This window comes from Homo sapiens, chromosome 11 (genome assembly GCF_000001405.40).
Source record: "Homo sapiens chromosome 11, GRCh38.p14 Primary Assembly".
NCBI classification, from domain to species: Eukaryota; Metazoa; Chordata; class Mammalia; order Primates; family Hominidae; genus Homo; species Homo sapiens.
In genome coordinates, this window is record NC_000011.10 from 44,145,287 (window position 1) to 44,167,675 (window position 22,389).

At 38.6% G+C, this 22,389-nt stretch overlaps 1 protein-coding gene across 9 annotated transcripts in view; it reads left to right on the top strand.

Moving 5' to 3' along the window:
• The window catches only part of EXT2 (exostosin glycosyltransferase 2), a 156,285-nt gene that overhangs the window by 49,609 nt on the left and 84,287 nt on the right, over positions 1-22,389 (top strand). The window lies entirely within an intron of this gene.

Consider the following 22,389-nt stretch of genomic DNA (forward strand, 5'->3'; position numbering starts at 1 on the left):
CCTTTAGCATAGAAAAGGAGCAAATAATATCCATTGAAGTCTTTGCTTTTCTACAATTCAAATAGAATATTATTGATGATATTATAATACTACTTTTAGCAGAAAGGACAAAGGTCTCTTTCTGCCTTAGAGCAAAGTTTAAGTTTTCAGAAGAGTTATCAGAAGAGTTAGGCCTGTTTCTACCATTGTCTTGTTCTATGGTCATGGGTATTTTCATGAGTAGGATCATGAGCTCACATTTCACAAGTTGCAAAGGGAAGGGCCAAATTAACATTTGTGTTAACTACTGTGTCTGGTACTGTACTGGGAGCTTCCTCATGAAAACTTGATGAGGTAGCTATTATTCTTATTTTTATAAAGGAGGAAAATGAACTTTAGAGGCTGAGTAGATGGCCTGAGGTTATAAAACTTAAGTGACAGATTCAAGATTGGGAAGAATTTTGGCATATGACTAAAAACTATGAACTTTATTTATAAAGCTCTCTTTTGTCCTTGTTTAGAGTACTCTTGAACTATTATAATCATCTAAAATATTTGTAAAATGCCTACTTTGGGTAATATACTATACACAATTCAGAGCTGTACAAGCCATGGTTCTTGTTCTCAAGTGGCCAACATTTTTGAAGGAAGAGGTATGTGATGTCCATTAGTGTCTATATTAGTTTGCTAGAGCTGCCATAACAAAATACCACAGACGGGGTGGCTTAAACAACAGAAATCTATTTCTCACAGTTCTGGAGGCTGGAAGCCCAAGATCAACGAGTTGGCAGGGAGGGTTTCTTCTGAGGCTTCTCTGCTTGTCTCGCAGATGGCTGCCCTCTTGCCTCCTCTTCACGTGTCGTCCCTCTGTATTCACGCACCTCTGGTGTCACTCTGTGTGTCCAAATTCCTCTTCTTTAAGGACACCAGATTGGATCAGGGCCCACCCTAACAGCCTCATTTTCACTTAATCACCTCTTTGAAAAGGCCCTTTCTCTAAATACAGTTACATTTTGAGATGCTAGGGGTGAGGGTGTCAACATGTGAATTTGGGGTAGACAATTCAGCTCAGCCCCAGGTCTGTATAAAGTATAAGACTCAAAGTCAGTAGCTGTCATTTAGTGGCTCAGTTGAGAAAGGGTTTTGCTTCTGACTGGAGTGCACCTCTGTGGTGTTTTCTCCTAACTCCATTCTCAACACCTTATCAAGTATAAGCAGTAGTCATGGTGTAAGGCCAGACGGGATAGGAGCCAGTGAAGAGGGGCGCTTTCACTACCACCTCATTCCGTTGCAAGTTGAAACACTGAGAACCGGCCTGTTGGGCTCAACTCAGAATTTGTGAGGCGACTCTGCCCTGGATACCTCATCCACAAGGTGGGACTTCTACTCATGGTTCCCTAATCACCACAGGGTAAGTTAGATTCTTAAAGTAGTTTATTAAGCCTAATAAATGCTCAGTTTTGTTTTGTTTTGTGGTATCAATGGAAAGATTCTTGGAGAAGACTTTTTTCTTCATTGAAATTTTGCATATCACAGTTTATGTTTTAATTCCAGAAGGGGAAGGTTGAAGGTTCAGGATTCTACACTAGATTGAGAGCTTTGGTCCTTTAACAAATGCTTGAGAATTTTAAAAAGATTTAATAATACAGAAAACCTCTTATAATAAAAGCAATTCTTCATTCTTACGCTTACATCACTCAAGATGGTTGATTTGGGGGATGGGGAGGACAGAAGGTGGCAGAGGAAACAGATTTATGAAAGTAACATATCTCTACCCCTAAAGAGAGATTGTTAATTTATCCTTGTAACATTGCATGCCTGCCTTTTGTTGCCTCACCTAGATGCATCAGCTAGATCAACCCGCCCCAGCACATACTTGTACACCCTAGCTCTCTGAATCAGCCAGGTTGATGGAGTGTTAATGTGGTAGTAAACTGTAATAAAGAAGAAATCTTTTCAGCAATTTTTTAAAAACCTTTTTTAAAATTATAGAATTGTAGTCTCCTTGGCCCAGATAAAGTCATGGCCTTCCCTACCTCATTTGTGTTTTTCAGAGCATTGGATTCTCCTTGACTAGTAGGCAGGGCACAAAGTGTTTAGAAGATTAAGGAGACACTATCTTACAGAAGATAAACTCAGAAGCCTGAGTAAATAAATTTCTTCTAATGTTTTCCCTATTGATTCATTGATTCACTAGTAAAGCAGAGTTTACTAATAACACACTTCTTTAATAGCAAGCCATATTATATGCATTAATTATTAATGGGCTAGGCCTGGGCAGGAAGATACCTGGTTTTTTGTTGTTGTTGTTTTGAGACAGAGTCCTGCTCTGTCACCCAGGTTGGAGTGCAGTGGCGTGATCTCTGCTCACTGCAAGCTCCGCCTCCCGGGTTCACGCCATTCTCCTGCCTCAGCCTCCCGTGTAGCTGGGACTACAGGCGCCTGCCACCACCCCCAGCTAATTTTTTTTTTTTTAATTGAGCATTTTCCCCCTTGTACTCCACATTGTCTTTTTTTTTTTTTTTGTAGCAAATTTGTTGACATAATTGGGACATTTAACATTCTATATTTTTGGACCTGAGAGAGGAGGTTTATTTTTATCCAGCAGCAAGCTACTATTTTAGGTGCTGTGGGATCCTCCCTATATTCAAGGAAGTAACTCTCAAGGGAATTGTGAGCTGAGCATCACGCTTGGAGCAAGGCACGTTGGAGTACTAATAGTGGCATGAGAGGTAGTGGGACGGCCAGCAGTCATGTGCATCTGTTTCCCTCCTGTCCTTTTCAAGATTCTTAGTGCATGACTTTGGATGAGTTATTTAGCTTTAAATGTCTCCATTTCATCATCTGTTTGTTTTTATATTCTCTAGTAAGGACTAACTCCCAACTGTGTTACAATAAAAGAAATCAAGGTAGAAAGAGATCAGGAGTGAATGTGGGTACTATGTTACCTAGACAACTACTCCCTAAATGTTGTTGAGGAAACTTCTTGGTTATTGTTATTCTAAGGAGGGTCTTCCAACATCACTCAAGATGGACACATAACAGTCCTTGCCACTGTGTTGGGTCAGAGGTTAAATTTCTCTCTTAAATTAGCCAAGAGCACATAGGACTGTGGCTGAGAAAGGGAGACTTCTGGAAAAGTTGAACTTTATGGAGCATTAGGAGTCTTGAAGTCACTGATTGATTCCTTTAGGAATCTGTGCAGCACCATAGCCCAGCACATGCTCCAGTGTTACCCAAGGTAAATCAGGAAGTCTAGAAAAAAGCAGGACCAGTAAACCCCCATGAACCTGTCAGTGGCTCAATTTTCTCATCATAAAATAGGGATAATTGGGTTGTGAGGATTAAATAAATTAATACAGGTAAAATACTTAAAATAGCGCCCAATACATAATAACTGCCTAATTTAATCAACAGATATTTATTGAGCACCTGCTTTGTTCGGGTATAGTTCTGAGTGCTATAGATGCCACAGTTAACAGACACAAATCTCTGCCTGCTTGGAAGCTACATTCCTCTGGTGGGAACAGGTGTTAGATGATGCTGATAGTGATGATGGTGAGCATCGTCATTATCTGAGGTCACAGATGTTGGAAGCAGAATGAACTGTGAGCATTAAGTTCACTTTTCACCCTTTCTCCAGGGGTATTTGTCTTTTACACTGAGGTAAATACATTTTTTTGGGAAATTCCTGTGTTGAAGATTGTTTCTAGGTTGCTTGTCCTGCCTTTTTGTAATGTTTTCCTTCTAATTGCAAGTTTACTTGTCTTATTCCAAACTCCATGGCATGACTTAGAGAAAGAAAAGAGTTTGGGGTTGGGTGCAGTAGCTCAGGCCTGTAATCCCAGCACTTTGGGAGGTGGAGGCAACAGGATCACTTGGGCCCAGGAGCTCAAAACCAGCCTGGGCAACACAGCAAGGCCCCATCTCTACAGAAAATGAAAAACTTAGCTGGGTGTGGTGGTGCATGCCTGTAGTCTCAGCTACTCGAGAGGCTGAGGTGGGAAGATTGCTTGAACCTGGGAGATGTAGGCTGTAGTGATCTGTGATCATGCCACTGCACTTCAGGCAGGGTGACAGAGCAAGACTCTGTCTTAAAAACAGTTGGAGTTTGGAATCCCCATTTTTCATTTGCCTCTCTTTGTCCCATGTTCTATTTCTTTTTTCTGTATCCTTTCTCTGATGATAACTAGGTTTTTAAACTCTTTATAGGAATCAACCATGTAATCCAATGCCATATAAGCTTGTAAAGAGCTTGTAAATACGTATTGGACCTTGAAAATAAAACCTTGTCTAAAAACTCTTGTGAACTTACATGAGTACACTATTTTGATATCAGAAAGTATTGTCCTGGACTTCATCATTTAGACCTCTTCCCTACATTTTTGTCATTAACGAATATATGCTTTAGCCATTTTCTCTGGTGGAACTTAACTGCATGTTAATTCTTTAATTACCCCCCACAAATATAAATACTGAGACTGGAGATGAAAGGAAGTAATATGCTTCGAAATGGATGACATGTGCTTATATATGGGCCTTTGGGAATGTTCCAGGCCACTGTGTTTGAGATTAGGATTTGAGTGCTGGTCCATGTATTTTCTTGTTTTTCTAACCTTTGAGTGACTCATAGTTTTGGATGTAATAATAGATTTAGAACTCCCCAAAATTAAACTACACAAAGAGGAAATTGTTGTATATTCAACTTTTTATATGTGGATGGGGCTGCTGCTGATGTTGAGAGTTCTTCAGAAATTCTTTGGAACATGCTAGGGAAACATGGCCTGGAAGATTGTGTAGAGCCTTTTTTTTCCTCAGCACCAGGGAAATGGGATTAAACTGGAGGAGGTTAAGAGATGGTTAACAAAAATGCTAGGAGTGGAGAAAGTTAGATTTAAACAAGCAAGATCTTTGCAGCTAACCAAGGGGTAAGGTCATGAGCAAGTTGTCAAAATCCTGAGAAGGGCGAGAGAGAGAGAAATAAGGTCCATTTAGTATGGCACAGAGTTTCATAATTGTGTTTGTTAATATTAAAACTTTTTTTTTCCTTTTCACTACATATGTGCCAACTGGGTGGAGACTATTTTTAAGAAGACAAAACCACAATAATGAACAACCCATCGTGGATTCTACATTCTTACATATTTTTAGAAGGATGGAAATGTGGGATAAGGTAAAAAGAAAATTGAGATTAAATCCTAGGAGAAATTAATTCCTAGCAAGAATTATTGGGCTGTATAGGAGATCCTGGGAAGAAAGCAATATGTGTTCACTAAGGTGTGATACACTAGATCTTGCACTGGGCAGTGGCTACATTTAAAATGGTTCTCAGCTGTTCCTCTGGAACAACACAGCTTAAAATAGAGTCTCTACTAGTCAAAGCACGTGTAGTCTTGCCTTACTGTTGCTGAGAAAATTGTGATGTTAAGGATGGAGTTCTCTCTCCTTAATCCATTTATAATTTTGGGGGACACATGGGCCTTACTCTAGAGGAAATTCAGGATCCTAGTATAAAGAAGCTGTAAGAATCCACAGACCTATTATACAACAGCTGTAGTATTTATGGGCTGGTTTCTTGAGTCCTTGCCCATAGGTGAGGACTAGTAAATTTTGCTTAACATTGTGTGCCAACCATCAGAGAGTTTTTGATCTGTCTGGGAAGATAAGCTTTTCCCCCGTAGAATTACAATGGGGCAGAAAATAGATGCTGATTGTTTTGAAAAATTGTCAGATGAATTAGAAAAGAATTAAGGCTAGTTTCAAGGAAGAGATGAACATTAAAGTACAGATAGGATTTTTTAAATTAATAAACTTTAGATTTTTAGGAGAGTTTTAGGTTCACAGCAAAATTGAGCAGAAACTACAAAGAGTTCCCATATATCCCCCATCCTCATAGTTGTCCAACATACCCCACTATTTACTGAACACCATAGTGGTACATTTCTTACAGTTCATGAATCTACACTGGCACATCATTATCACATGAAGTCCATAATTTACATTAGGGTTCACTCTTGATATTTTACATTGTATGGGTTTGGACAAACATGTATCTACCATTGTAATATACAGAATAGTTCCATTGCCCTAAAAATCCTCTGTGCTCTGCCTATTAATTGCTCCCTTCTCCCAACTCTCGGAAACCATTGATCTTTTTACTGTCTCTGTGGTTTTGCCTTTTTTTGAAGTCATATAGTTGAAATTATATAGTATGTAGCCCCTTCAGTTTGGCTTCTTTTACTTAGTAATATGCATTTAAGTTTCCTCCATGTGTCTTCATGGCTTGGTAGCTCATTTCTTTTCAGTGCTAAATAATATTCCATTGTCTGGATGTACCACAGTTTATTCACCTACTGAAGGGCATCTTGATTCCTTCTATGTTTTGTATATGAATAAAGCTGCTGTAAACATCTGTGTGCAGGTTTTCGAGTAGATGTAAGTTTTCAGTGCATTTGGGTAACCTTCAGGGAGCACAGTTGCTGGCTTGCATGGCAAGAATACGTTTAGTTTTGTAGGAACCTACCAAACTATCTTCCAAAGTGGCTGTACCACTTTGCTTTCCCACCTGGAATGAATGACAGTTCCTGTTGCCCTACATCTTCACCAACATTTGGTGTTCTCAGTGCTTTGGATTTTGGCCATTCTAATAGATATGTATTTGTATCTTATTGCTGTTTTAATTTATAATTCCTTAATGATATGTGATATTGAACATCTTTTCATATGCTTACTTGCCATCTATGTATGTTCTTTGGTAAGGTGTCTGTTCAGGTCTTTTGCCATTTTTTAATCTGATTGTTCACTTTCTTATTGTAGAGTTTTACGAGTATTTTGTTTATTTTGGAGAACAGTCCCTTATTAGTCGTGTCCTTTGCAAATGTTTTCTCCCAGCCTGTGGCTTATTTTCTCATTCTCTTGACATTATTTGTTGCACATCAGGAGTGTTTAATATTAATGAAGTCCAGCTTATCTATTATTTATTTCATGGGTTATATCTTTGGTATTGTACCTAAAAAGTCATTGCCATACCAAGGCCATCTAGGTTTTCTCCTAAGTTATCATCTAGGAGTTTTATAGGGTTGTTGTTGTTGTTGTTGTTGTTTTTGAGACAGTATCATTTCATCACCCAGGCTGGAGTGCAGTGGTGTGTTCTCAGCTCACTGCAGCCTCCTCCTTCTGGGTTCAAGCAGTTCTCATGCCTCAGCTTCCCAAGTAGCTGGGACTACAGGTGCACACCACCACACCCGGCTAATCTTTGTATTTTTAGTAGAGACGGGTTTTCATCATGTTGGCCAGGCTGGTCTTGAACTCCTGACCTCAGGTGATCTGCCCTCCTCGCCTTCCCAAAGTGCTGAGATTACGGGCATGAGCCACTGCACCCTGCTGGAGTTTATAATTTTACATTTTATATTTAGGTCAGTGATCCATTGTGAGTAAATTTTTTTTGAAGGATGTAAAATCTGTCTAGATTTTTTTGTATGTAGATGTCCAGTTGTTTCAGCACCATTTGTGGAAAGACTGTCTTTTCTTCATATGTATTGTTTTTGCTCCTTTGTCAAAGATCATTCAGGTATATTTATGTAGGTCTGTGTCTGGGCTCTCTATTCTGTTCCGTTGATCTGTCTATTCTTTCACCAATATCACACTGTCTTGATGACTGTAGCTTTATTTTAAGTTTTGGAGTTTGGTAGTCTCAGTCTTCTGACTTTGTTCTTCAATATTGAGTTGCCTATTCTGGATCTTTACCTCTCTATACAAATTTAGAATCAGTTTGTTGATAGCCACAAAATAACTTGCTGAGATTTTTACTGAAATTTTGTTGAATCTATAATTCAAGTTGGGAAGAACCGACATCTTGACAATATTGAGTCCTCCCAGCTAGGAATATAGAATAGCTCTCCATTTATTTAAGTTATTTGATATCTTTCATCAGAGTTTTATATTTTTACTCTTATAGATCTTATACATATTTTGTTAGATTTATACTTATTTCATTGTTTTCAGTGCTAATGTAAATGGTGATGGGTTTTAAATTTCAAATTCCACTTATTCATTGCTAGTGTATATGAAAGGGATTGATTTTTGTATATTAAACTTATATCCTGCCATCTTGCAGTAACTGCTTATTAGTTCCATTTTGTTGTTGTTGTTGATTTTGTTGGATTCTCTATATAAACAATCATGTTATCTGTGAACAAAGACAGTTTTATTTCTTTTTTCCCAATATATATACCTTGTATTTTTTTTTTCTTGACTTACTGCATTGGCTAGGACTTTCAGTATGGTGTTGAAAAGGAGTGTGAGAGGGGACATCTTTGCCTTGTTGCTGGTCTGAGTAGAAAAGCTTTGAATTTTTCATCATTATGATATAAGCAGTAGGTTTTTTTGTAGATATTCTTTATCAACTAGAGGAAATTTCCTTCTATTCCTAGTTTGCTGAGAGTTTTTATCATGAATAAGTATTGGATTTGGTCAAAGGCTTTTTCTGTATCTATTGGTGTGCTCTTGGATTTTTTTCTCTTTAGCTTGTTGATGTGGTGGATTACATTAATTGATCTGTGAAAGCTGAACCAGCCTTGCATACCTGGGATAAATCTCACTTGATCATGGTGTTTAATTCTTTTTACACAATGTTGGATTTGAATACTGGTTGTTGTTGTTTTTTTTTAGAATTTTTTGCTTCTATTTTCATGAGAGATATTGGTCTGTAGTTTTCTGTTTTTTTTTTAATTAAAAAATTTTATGGGTACATAGTAGGTATATATATTTATAGGGTACCTGAGATAATTTTGATACAGGCATACAATGGGTAATTATCACATTAGGGAAAATTGGGTATCTATCCCCTCAAGCATTTATCATTTCTTTGTGTTACAGACGTTCCAACTATAGTCTTTTAGTCATTTTGAGATGTACAATAAATTATTGTTGACTATAGTCACTCTGTTGCACTATCAAATACTATATCTTATTTATTCTATCTAACTATATTTTTGTACCCATTAACCATCCCTACTTACCACTCCCCACCCTTCCCAGCCTCTGGTGATCATCATTCTACCTTCTATCTCTTTGAGTTCAGTTGTTTTAATTTTTAGCTCCTACAAATGAGTGAGAACATGCCAAAGTTGTCTTTCTGCACCTGGCTTATTTCACTTAACATAATGACCTCCATTTCCATCCATGTTGCAAATGACAGGATCTCATTCTTTTTAACAATTGAGTAGTTCTCCATTGTGTATAAGTACCACATTTTCTTTATTCATTCATTTGTTGATGGACACTTAGGTTGCTTCCAAATCTTGGCTGTTGTGAATAGTGCTATTATAAGCATGGGAGTATAGATACCTCTTCGATATACTGATTTCCTTTCTTTTGATATATATACCTAGCATTGGGATTGCTGGATCATAGTTTAGTTCTATTTTTAGTTTTTTGAGGAGCCTCTGTACTGTTCTCCATAGATGCTGTACCTGTTTACATTCCCACCAACACTGTATGAGGGTTCCATTTTCTCTACATCCTCACCAGCATTCATTATTGCCTGTCTTTTGGTTAAAAGCCATTTTAACTAGGAGGAGATGATATCTTATTAGAGTTTTGATTTGCATTTCTCTAATGATCAATGATGTTGAGCACCTTTTCAGGTCTTGTAACAACATGACTTAATTTTGCCCATTTTTAAATTAGATTTTTTTTTTGCTATTAAGTTGTTTGAGCTCCTTATATATTCTGGTTATTAATCCCTTGTCAGATGGATTGTTTGCAGATATTTTCTCCCATTCTTTTGGTTGTCTCTTCATTTTGTTGATTGTTTCCTTTGCTATGCAGAAGCTTTTTAACTCTGTGATCCCATTTGCCCATTTGATTGCCTGTGCTTTGGGGGTATTACTCAAGAAATCTTTGCCTAGACCAATGTCCTGGACAGTTTCCCTAGTGTTTTCTTTGAATAGTTTCATGGTTTGAGATCTTAGTCTAAGTCTTTAATCCATTTTGATTTGATTTTTGTACATGGTGAGAGATAGGTACCTAGTTTCCTTCTTCTTCATTCCGTGTTATTGATAAGTTAAGGACTTATTCCTGCCATTTTGTTATTTGTTTCCTGGTTCTTTTGTGATCTTCTTATTTTTCCTTGCTTCTGTCCTGTCTTCCTTTTTGTGAAGGTGATTTTCTCTGGTAGTATGATTTAATTTCTTGCTTTCTATTTTTTTGTGTGTATCTGTTGCAGGATTTTTTTTATAGTTTAAGGTTACCATGAGGCTTACAAATAACATTTTATAATCCATTATTTTAAACTGATGACAACTTAACACTGATTGCAAAAACAAGCTAACAAGCAAAGAGAAAACTAATGAAAACTTACACTTCAACTTCACTCCTCCCTACCTTTTAACATTTTGTTTTTATTTATATTTTATGATACTGCCTATGTCTTGAAAAGTTGTTGTAGCTATTTTTGTTAGGTTCATCTTTTAATCTTTCTACCCAAGATATGAATAGTTTACACACCATAATTACAGTGTTATAATATTCTGTGTGTGTCTGTGGACTTGCTATTACCGGTGGGTTTTGTACCTTCAGACGATTTCTTATTGCTTGTTAACATCCTTTTCTTTCGGATTGAATAACTCTTTAGTATTTCTTATAAGACAGGTCTAGTGTTGATGAAATCCCTCAGCCTTTGTTTGTCCGGGAAAGTATTCCTCCTTTATGTTTGAAGAACATTTTTGCCAGATATACTCTAAAAGCTTTTTTCCTTCAGCACTTCAAATATGTCATGTCACTTTCTTCTAGCCTGTAAGGTTTCCACTGAAAAGTCTGCTGCCAGATGTATTTGAGCTCCTTTATATGTTATTTGTTTCTTTTCTCTTGCTGCTTTTAGGATCCTTCCTTTTTTCTTGACCTTTGGAAGTGTGATTATTAAATGACTTGAGATAGTCTTCTTTGGGGTTCAATCTGCTTGGTGTTCTATAACCTTCTAATACTTGAATATTGATATCTTGCTGCAGGTTTGGAAAGTTCTCTATTATTATCCCTTTGAATAAACTTTCTACCTCAATCTCTCTTTCCACCTCTTCTTTAAGGCCAATAACTCTTAGATTCGCCCTTTTGAAGCTACTTTATAGATCTTGTAGGCATGCTTCATTCTTTCTTATTCTGTTTTCTTTTGTCTCCTCTCTCTATGTTTTCAAGCTCACTAATTCTTTCTTTTGCTTGATAAATTCTGCTGTTGAGAGATTGATGTATTCTTCAGTTTGTGAATGGAAATTTTTAGCTCCAGAATTTCTGCTTGATTTTCAAAAATTATTTCAATCTCCTTTGTTAAATTTATCTGTTAGAATTCTGAATTCCTTCTCTCTGTTGTCTTGAATTTCCTCAAGCTTCCTCAAAAGAGCTAATTTGAATTCTCTGTCTGAAAGGTCACATGTCTCTGTCACTCCAGGATTGGTCACTGATGACTTATTTAGTTCATTTGGCTAGGTCATGTTTTCCTGAATGTTCTTGATGCTTGTGGATGTTTGTCAATGTCTAGGCATTGAAGAGTTAGGTATTTATTGTAGTCTCTGCAGTCTGGGCTTGTTTGTACCCATCCTTCTTAGGAAGGCTTTCTACGTATTCAAAGGAAATTGAGTGTTGTGATCTAAATCTTGGTCACTGCAGCCGTTCTGCATTGGGGGCAGCACTCCAAGCCCAGTACTGTGAGTCTTATGGACTCACGAAGGTACAGCCTTGGTGGTCACGGATAAGATCTGGAAGAATTCGCTGGGTACTAGGCAAAGTCTCTTGTTCTCTTTTCTTACTTTCTCCCTAACAAATGGAGTCTCTGTCTCTGTGATGAGCTGCCTAGAACTGGGGAATGGGTGACACAGGCAGTCCTGTGGTCACCGCTGCTTGGACTGTGCTGGATCAGATCCAAAGTGAGCACAGCACTGGATCTTTCCCAGGGCCTGCAGTGACCGCTGCCTGGCTGCTTCTGATGTTCACTTAGGCTCCAGGGGCTCTTCAGTCAGCAGGTGGCAAATCCATTCTGGCTTATGTCCTCTGCAGGACAGCAGGCCTCACCCCTGGCCCAAGTCATGACCAGAAATGCCATCTGGGAGCCAGGGCTTGGAGTTGGGAACCTTAGGAATCTACTTGGTTCTCTATTCTACGTGGCTGAGCTGGCATCCAAGCTGCAAGTCCTTCCCACTTTTCCCTCTCCTTTCCACATGTAGAAGAAGTCTCTCTTCATGGCCACCACTGCCCTTGGCCCATGGCAAGTACAGCCTGGCCACTGGCTGATGTTCAGTCAAGGCTCAAGGGCTCTTCAGTCGGCTTGTGGTGAATGCTCTCAGGCCTGGGTCGCTCCCTTCGGGGCAGCAGTCTCCCCTCTGGCCCAGGGTGAGTCTAGAAACGCCATCCAGGAACCAAGGCCTGGGATAAGACCCCAAAGTCTACTTGGTACTCTACCCTGCTATGGCCAAGCTGGTCCCCAAACTGCAAAACAAAGCCCCCTTTTCTCTCTCCTTCCCCTGAGCAGGAGGAGTCTCTCCCAGTGGCCACCACAGCTGTGAATGTGCTGGGTCATACCTGAAGCCAGCACAGCCATAAGTCTTACCCAGGGCCCACAGTGAGAACTGCCTGTGTACCACTGATGTTTATTCAGGGCCCAGTGCTCTTAAGGCAGCAGACTGAATCCTACCAGCACTGGGCCCTTCTCTTCAAGGGAGCAAGTTTCCTTCTGGCCCAGTGTGTGTCTAGAACTAGGGCCTGGAATGAGGGTTTCAGGACTCTGCCTGCTGCCCTATTCTGCTGTGGTTGAGCTAGTATCCAAGTTGGAAGATGAAGTCCTCTTTATTGTTCCCTCTCCTCTCCTCAAGTGGAAGGAAAAGGTCTTTCCTGGAGCTGTGAGCTGCACTGCCTGAGGTTGGGGGAGCAGTGACACAAGCACCCACTTTACTGTACCAGCAGCTGGTGTATATATGTAGGCCACATGCACCCCGAGTCTGCTGGTTCTGAGCCCAGACTTGCCCAGGAATTGCCATCCTTGTGGCCTGGACTGCCTTTCAAGTTTATTTAGGACCCCAGAGTACTTTAGCCATTAACCCAATACATTGTTGCTGTGATCATCTGGAACAAACTGTTATTTTTTCTGTAAATGGGATGGCAAAGCCTGGATGACAGCGTATCAGTTTATAGCATGGTTTATGAATATTTTAAGCCCACTATCGAGACCTGCTGCTCAAAGAAAGATTCCTTCCAAAATAGTAAGAATTGAAAATTTTTAATTTTTAATAAATTAATTTAATTTTAATTAAATTAATTAATTTTAATAAATTGATTTTTATTAAAAATTAATAAATTGATTTTAATAATATTTAAATTAATTTAATTTTAATAAAAAGAAAGAATTTTATTTGACCTTTGCTTTTTCTCTAATGCTCTTTCTTTCCTTATGTAGATCTGAATTCCTGACCTATATCATTTTCCTTCTCTCTGAAGAACATTTAACATTTCTTGCAAGGCAAGGCTACTGACAAATTTCCTCAATTTTTTTTCTGAGAAAATCTTTATTTCTCCTTCACTTGGGGGATAATTTTGCAGGGTACAGAATTCTTAAGTGTGTGGTTTTTTTCTCTCAACACTTTAAATATTTCACTCCACTTCCTTCTATTGCATGGTTTTTAGGAGAAGTCAGATGAAATTCTTATCCTTGCTCCTCTGTAGGTAAGGTGTTTTCCCCTACCCCTGGCATCTATAGAGATTTTTTTTCTTTATGTTTGATTTTCTGAAGTTTGCATACCATATGCTAGGTGTGGTTTTTGGGTTTTTTGGGTTTTCTTTTCTTAACATTTTTAGGGTTTTTGCTTTCGTTCTTTTTTTTTTTTTCTTCATTTATTCTGTTTATTGTTCTCTGAGCTTCCTGGATCTGTAGTTTGGTATCTTGATATTATTTTGGTAAAATCCTCAGTCATTATTGCTTCAGATATTGCTTCTGTTCTTTTCTCTGTTTCTTCTCTTCTGGTATTTTCATTACATGTATTTATATCTTTTGTAGTTGTTCTACAGTTGTTGGAGATCCTGTTTTGTTTTCTTCAGTCTTTTTTTTTCTGTGCTTTTCAGGTTTGGAAGTTACTGTTAAAATATCCTCAAGTTCAGAGATTATTTCCTCAGTTATATCCAGTTTAATAATTAGCCCATCTTCATTTTCATTACAGTGTGTTTGATCTCTATCATTTCTTTTTTATTCTTTCTTAGAATTTTCATCTCTCTGTTTACATTATTCATCTGTTCTTGCATGTTGTCTGCCTTTTCCATTAGAACCTTTAGCATATTAATCATAATTGTTTTAAATTTCTGGTCTGGTAATTTCAGCATCTCTGCCATGTCTCATTCTGGTTTGATGCTTACTCAGTCTCTTCAAACTGTGTTTTTGCTTTTCAATATGCCTTGTAATTTTTTGTTGAAGTACTGGGTGAAAGGAACTCTGGGAAATAGGCCTTCAATGGTATGGTGGTATTGTGTGGGGGGAAGGACTGGACTGTGAACTTCACAAATGCTTCTCAGTTTTTCCCCAACCTTGCTTAGGTGGGACAGGATGGCTACAGGGGACTAGAGTTGGGTATTTCCTCACTTTTATGTGGAAGGTTAGAGCCAGCTGGAGTTGGTTATTTCCTTTCTTGCAAATAGGATAGGCTCTGATAAAACCCTAACAGGTTAGGCTCTTGTAAAATAGTTTCTCCTCAGGGCAAATCTTGTTAAGAACAAAATGCTCTGGTATATTTCAGAATGGTTACTTTCCCTTCCCCTTTCTAGAAGCACCAAGGGGTTGTTCTCTAGTATTCTCTGTGAGAACCTGGTTGAACAAATTCTGGTGGTAAAACTCTGGAAGTGTGGGGATGCCCCCATCTCTCTCCCTGACTGGGTTTCCCTGGAGTTTTTAAACTCTCAGACTTGTCCACACTGAGCCTCCAGCAATTTGTCAATTACAGTTAAGGTTTTCCTACCCTGGCACTGGTTCCTGGAGAGGTTTGTGCTCCAGTAAGTTGTGATTCTCTCTATTCACCTGCCCATCTGTTCAGTTTCCAAGGCAGCTGTTTGTGATGTGACCTCATTTGCTTGATAAATTGGAGAAAAGGTGTTGATTTCATTTCAGCCTTTTACTTGTGTTAGGACAGAATGGTGACTTCTAAGCTTATTAAGTGCCATACTGGAAACCAGAAACCCCCAGACAGGATTTTAGTAGATGGAAGAACATGAAGATGGCATTCCAGAAAAAGGGAATACCATGAACAAAGTAATGATCATGTGTTTGTGGGCCAGTGGAGAAAGTGACTTGCCTAGACTAGCAGAAGCATGGTGAAAATAGTGGGTGAGAAGTTTAGATATGTTAAGTGCAACGGATTTTGAAGGATATTGAATGGATTTTGGATGAAGAATAATCTGGACTGTGAGAAGCTGGGGTAATGGGAAGAGCTCTGCTACTGATTGTGTGTGTGTAAACTCTCATGGGGTATTGCTGGGATATAAGGGTCTGGGTATTTGTTTTAGTTATTTACTTAACAAATTATTTTGTAGCTGGCTAATTTACTGAACTTGCTTATTAGTTCTGATAGGTTTTTAGCTGATTCTTTAGGGTTTCCTTCTTAGCCAATCTATGGAAAGCTCTTGGATTTATTTTCACATTTGTATCCTTTTTCTGTTTTCTTATTCATTAATTACTTCTACTGATCTTCTTGGATTTGTTTCATTTTCCACATTAAGTTGGATGCTTACTTTATTTTTGTATGATAATTTGGCATATACATCAAAATAAAATTAAAGTGTGGGACTAGAAGCAGTTGGAATTTTGGAAATATCTGAAGTCTCAGTAGATTTCATCTCTAAGATTTTAAATATAAAAAGTGGCTATATACTTTTAAATAGGTGAGATATGTTAGCAGGCTTCAACTTAACATTTAAGGCAAATGTCAGATTTTTTATTGCTGTGAACTTATTACTGAGGAAAGAAAACATTTAAATATTTTTCTCCAGCCACAAATCCCCATAAGTTTAAAGATTTTGACAGAATGCCATACTTTATGTATGTTAAAAAATTGTAAGCCAGGATCAATGGCATGCACCTCTAGCCACAGCTGCTCAGGAGGCCAAGACAGGAGGTTCACCTGAGCCTGGGAGTTTGAAGCTGTAGTGTGCAATGATCGTGCCTGTGAATAGCTACTATACTCCAGTCTGGGCAATGGAGCAAGACCCTGGCTCTTAAAAAAAAAAAAGTAATATTCAGTGAATACAATTTCATAGTTTTTAATCCTTTCAAAGTACATTAAAAATAGTGTGCTAAATTCTTTGATACTTCTTCCTCCAGGAGGTGAAGCTTCATTACTCTCCCTTTCAGTATGGACTGAACATAGTGACTTGCTTCTAGGGAGCATAGACTATGGGATGGGAACAGTAGTAATTTAGCAGTGGGAAAACCTGGCAGACCTCACCTTAACTATGTGAGCAAGGTTAACGTTACTTTTAATAAGTCATATTGGTAGCATATGTCCCCTGATGGAGTGTGAAGGGAAGGGTACATCATCTCTGTAGTATTCTCCAAAATCTATAACCTCAATCTAATAAGTAGAAAACATCGGATAAACCCAAATTGAGGGACATTCTATATGAAAGTCCTGACCAGTACTGTCAACTATGTCAATGTCATGAAAGACAAGGAAAGACTGAGAAACTGTCCCTGATTAGAGGAGACTGAGCTGACATGACAAGTAAATGCACTATGGTGTCCTGGATTAGATCCTGGAACAGAAAAAGGACTTTAGGAGAAAACTGGGAATCTGGAGAAGAAAAAAAGTATGTTGTTTAGTTAATAGAATTGTACCAATGTTAACCTCTTGGTTTTGATAATTGTACCATGGTGATGTAAGATGTTAACATTAGGAGAAGCTGGATGAGGGGCATTCCAGATATTTGAGAACTCTCTGGCTACTATTGCAACTGTTCACTAAGTCTAAAAGTATTACAAAATAAAAAGTTATAAAAGCAATTACCAGCTGGGCTCAGTGGCTCATGCCTGTAATCCCAGGACTTTGGGGGGCCGAGGCAGGCAGGTCACCTGAGGTCAGGTGTTCAAGACCAGCCTGACCAACATGGCAAAACTGCATCTCTACTAAAAATACAAAAATTAGCCAGGCATGGTGGCAGACGTCTGTAATCCCAGCTACTCGGGAGGCTGAGGTAGGAGAATCGCTTGAACCCAGTAGGCTGAGGTTGCAGTGAGCCGAGATCGCACCACTGCCCTCCAGCCTGGGGGACAGGGTGAGACTCCATCTCAAAAAAAAAAAAAAAAAAAAAGCAGTTACCACTTTGCATAGCAAAGCAATAGACAAATACTGAAACCTACCAAAAACTTATAAAATGAATTCTGCTGCAGTTAGGTGAACCATTGTGTGTGGCTTTCTATAAACTTTCAGCAAGTGCCATATGGGTGGGTTCCTAAATTACTGTCTTTATGTAACTGATAGGTGAAGATGGTGGGGCTGGGAAAATGTACTGGATTAATAGAAACATGTTTCCAGGAGTTGCATGTGGAGAAGGCAAATAAAACAGCTTCATGAATAAGGAAGTGAAAAAAAGCCGTCTCATGTTTTATGCGGCAAGGTGTTTTACATACAACTAAATTAACAAAATAAATATTTTAAGTAAAGAAAATGATTAGTATGTGGATAAATCCCAGGTATATTAACCTTTTTGCTTCAAAATCCCTTTTTATGTTAAAGAAAGTAAGTTCTATTAATTGCTGTTTGTTGGATCCCCAAGTTAAAGGGATATCAGATATTTGTGAACTTCCTCTGCTCTTCTGGAGAAACTGGTAACATGGGCATAGTAAATGTCTTCAAAAACCTCCAGTCCACAAGAAGTGCCTTTAAAGGGTTTTGCTGATATTTTTTTCCCTCGAATTTTAAGTTAGTTGTCAGGTAACTCTTATATTTATGAAAATGGAGTATGTAAAAGAATAAACAAAAAAATCTTGCTTACAGTAATTCTAAACTAAAAGTAAGGATGCTTGGGTTATAATTTGGCCTTATTATTGAGCTTTTTGAGCTGTCAGATGAAGATTATTAGAGCCTATCTCTGGGACCTTCAGACTGTTATGAGGTTGTCCAAGAAGGACACCAGACTCCCTGCTCTTGTGCTGTCAAAAGGACCAGTGAGCACCAAAGAGCCTGTTGGACACAGGGCTTTGGAAAGTTGGGAATGCTCGTTGCTACTATTTTGTTAAAGCCAACAAATGAAAAGGAATAATTAGCCTTTGGCATATGTATTTGGAAAGGCTTAGAATCTCTTTGGAAGTTTTCAGGCTTATCTTCAGACACAGCTTTGAAAAATAAATCCGTGATGCATGGAAATATTTTCCAGCTGTTCACCTGAAATAAATGGTTCTGTCAATGTTAGTGTGTTAAGAGTAAGTTTCCTGTAGCTCGGATCTCTTGAATCTCCTCATTTGCTAAGAGGGAGAAGATTTGCCTTTTTAACAGTGCAGCTGTTTCTTAAACTTCTTGAGGGAGCAAGTGAATGCTTTATTTAATCTGTCTTGGTTCTCTTGGGTTTTGGGGTCTGTGTTTTGCTGTTTTCTCATTAATTTTGGAAAATTCTTAGCTCTTTTTCCTTTAAATACATCTGCTGCCTTGTTCTCCACTTCCCCCTCTCTCCTCTTCTGAGACTATAGTTACACTATATTAGAGTGTTTGATATCGTCCTACAGTTCTAGAGTACTCTGTTTTAGATTTTTCCCTCCCACTCTTTTTTCTTTTTGTGTTTCAGTTTGGATAATTTCTATTGTTCTGTCTTCAAGCTCTCTCTTTCTTTTCTTGGCTCTGTCTAGTGTGCTAAGACTGTCAAAGGAATTCTTCATCTATAATACTGGTTTTTCACTTCTAGCATTTTTATTTGACTGTTTTTTATATTATCCATCTTTCTACCAAAAATTCCCATATGTTCCTGCGAGTTGTCCACCTTTTTCACTAGATCCTTTAATATATTAATTATAGTTAAAGTCCTTGTCTAATAGTTCCTTCATCTTGGTCATCTTTGAGTTAGGTTCTGTTGACAGCTTTATTTTATGTCAGTGGGCTGTTTTCTCTTATTTCAAAAAACTGAGAGGTTAAGTAACTTAAAATTGCTCAAGATGCTCTATAACTGTTGTTCTTTCCACTATGCCACACTGGCTTCTCTTAAATACTTATTATTGCTAATCCCATTGCCTTTGCATTACTGAAAATTAAGAAATTAATCACATTTAATTTATGTATAAACTGAGATAGCAGTTTCAATTTGGAGTTCCATTTTGCCCATGATGGTTTTAAGCTGGCCCAGTCCCTGCCCTAGAGAAGCTTTATAATTCTCATGTTTGAAAATATCCTAGGAATTATATAGTTCTTATGCTGTGAAATCTGTGTGTTTTATAAACAAAATCACTGTGGAATCTGATTAACCAAGAAAGTTTAAATGCTTTGTTCAAGGTTATATTGGTGTGACCTATTCACCTGTAACCTAACTCTTCAACTGTGTACCTTCCACAGTTTAGAGTGACTGGGGAATTTGCATAGCTGCTGAAGAATCTCTCATTCACACTTTTTTTTTTTTTTTTTTTTGAGACGGAGTCTCGCTCTGTCGCCCAGGCTGGAGTGCAGTGGCGGGATCTCGGCTCACTGCAAGCTCCGCCTCCCGGGTTCACGCCATTCTCCTGCCTCAGCCTCCCAAGTAGCTGGGACTACAGGCGCCCGCCACCACGCCCGGCTAATTTTTTGTATTTTTAGTAGAGACGGGGTTTCACCGTTTTAGCCGGGATGGTCTCGATCTCCTGACCTCGTGATCCGCCCGCCTCGGCCTCCCAAAGTGCTGGGATTACAGGCGTGAGCCACCGCGCCCGGCCCACACTTTTAAGATAGATATAAATGTGGACCATGTTTTAGGGGAGAAAAAGCCATAATAAGCACTTATTTGCATTTGCTCTCTGGATGAGAATAGTGGTGCTTTCGTACATTGCCAGCGTAGCTGAAGACTCCTTCCTCTCTGTGGACAAGCAGGCTATACTAAGCCCTGGAGGGGCTATAAATTATAATACCTTCTGAACATTTCAAGGTATTACAGAAGACCTGCAGAAACAATTAAGCCTGAGAAGTTCACTTATCCCCAGGCTGAGGCACTTGAGCTATGATTATTGGCAAAACTTGCTTCCTTTCTGAGTGAATTGCAATTTGGTGGACAGGGTGAGATGATTTGAGACATCTTAAATTAGAAGTTCAGTTGTGCATTTGTGCCTTTGGCTGGTGTCCTGGGTGGATTTCTTACCAATTATTGTTTTCTATAAATCCCAAAAGCTGCCGTCTCCACTGTGATTATATGTGAGCATAAGGCTTTGGAATGCTTAAGTTGGAATGTGGTTTAATTTGAATATGACTTAAAAGAATATATGATGATAGACCCAGTTGGGTAGAAAAGGAGATAAATATTCAGGATATATATGTGTTTATGTTTGGCCTGATGCTTTGTAAATTTTTACACCTTTCAGTTTCTTGAAAAAGGGTGATTTTCTAAAACTTGCTATGTGCTGGTGCTCTTAATGCTCTGGAATGGGGTAGAAAAAAGGTCTGAATTTAGTTAGGAGTCATGGATTTGGATTGTGATTCTGCTCCTTAATATCTTTGTATCTTAGTTTCCTCATTTATAAAATGAAACTGTCCCAAATAAGTGACAAGCTGGTTGTGAAGAGCAGATGAAATAATGAATATAAAAGTGCTCTGCAGCAGGTAGAACACTAACATTTGCAAGGATGCTGATTTTTAAAATACCAGTATCTATTTCCAAGGAACTCACAGTCTAGCTGGAGAGAAAAAAGTAATCCTCTGAAACAACAGAAAAACAATTATAGAACAGTATATAACAACTAATGTGTATGGCAAAGGCTGTAAGGGCTAAGGGATTTCATAGTAAGGGGAGATTGGTGATAACAGAAAGTGATCAGTAAAGGTTTCATAGGGAAGATGGGTTATTTCAGGTCTCATAAAATGTAAACATTTTGGCTGGATGATAGGAGAGAAAGCAGTAACATGAATTTAAGCAGGATTGAGATTGTAGTGAATAGGGCATATCTAAGAAGCAGTAGCAGGGAGGCAGCCAGCTGTGTACCCAGATGACCAACTTCTGGACAACTTGAGAAAGTCAGATACCCTTGAAAGCTAAATCTGTATTTCAGCTTTTCTTTGAGTAGGAGACATTCTCATTGTGCATGCTTTGCTTTCTTCTTATTAGTTAGTGGAGATGATATTAGTTACATAACTCAAGTTACCCTAGGCTTTTAACTCATGGATAGAACACTTGCCCAGGAAACAGAAGCAGAGTAAGCACATCTAGACTAGAAAGTATCTTTTTCCTTCACCCTTTTGGGTTACTTTACAATTTCCCCATGTTAAATTTTCACATGTTCACTCCCTTGCATAAATCCAAATAGCCTCTGGTTTTGAGTGGAATCATAGATCTGAATGAAGCTGGAGAGATCATATAGACTAGCATCCTGCTTTTGTTAGGAACTGAGTTTAACTTCTGCTCGGATAAGAAACTGCCTTCTTTCAAAAGACTATATTGGACCAGGAAAGAATAGCTGATACTGGAGCAACCCTCCTGCCAAAAGAAGAAAAAATTATAAAAGTTTATTTAAAACAACTGCTTACAGGCATTGTAGAACCACTAACACAGTATTTGAGGGAATACCATTCCTGAGAGGAAGAAAGCACTTGGAATTGAGCTACATAGTCACTCTGGCATCTTCTCTGACGGTACTTGCCAATTCTCTATCCAAGAGTATGGGGTCCCAGCAGAAAGCAGCAGTCCTACAGGACTTAGAGGTTGGAGTTAGGGCCTATTAAAGTATTTGGGATCTGAAACACAAAATCCCAGGAGAAAGAAAACCACAAGGAAGAAAGTGAAAAATGTGCTCGTAATCTTCCCTTAGAGTGTTTGCCAACTCCTAAGGTACACATGATCAGAGCAAGACTCCAAGAATCCTAGTAAAAAGCAGCAGTTGGGAATGTAGTGAGCAATGCAGATATTTCAGCAGCCATATACAGTGCTGGTGAGAGGTTGGTATTCAAGGCCTGCCAAGGTAGAGGGGCCCTGGCAAATACAAATAACCCAGGCTTTAATTGGAGGCCTCAGAAAGACCACACTTTAAGCATAAGGGAAAGCTGAAATAAGCTAGCCCTGACATAGGGCTCTGACAGGACCTCTGACAGGATTAAAGTGGCCTGACTGTACTCTTACACCTGCCAAAAGAATAAGTTACAGTCTTAGGAGGAAGATAATCTGAATCATCCAGAACCTCTACAGGTTTTAAACAGAATGTCTGCCATCCAATAAAAAATTAAGAAGTGT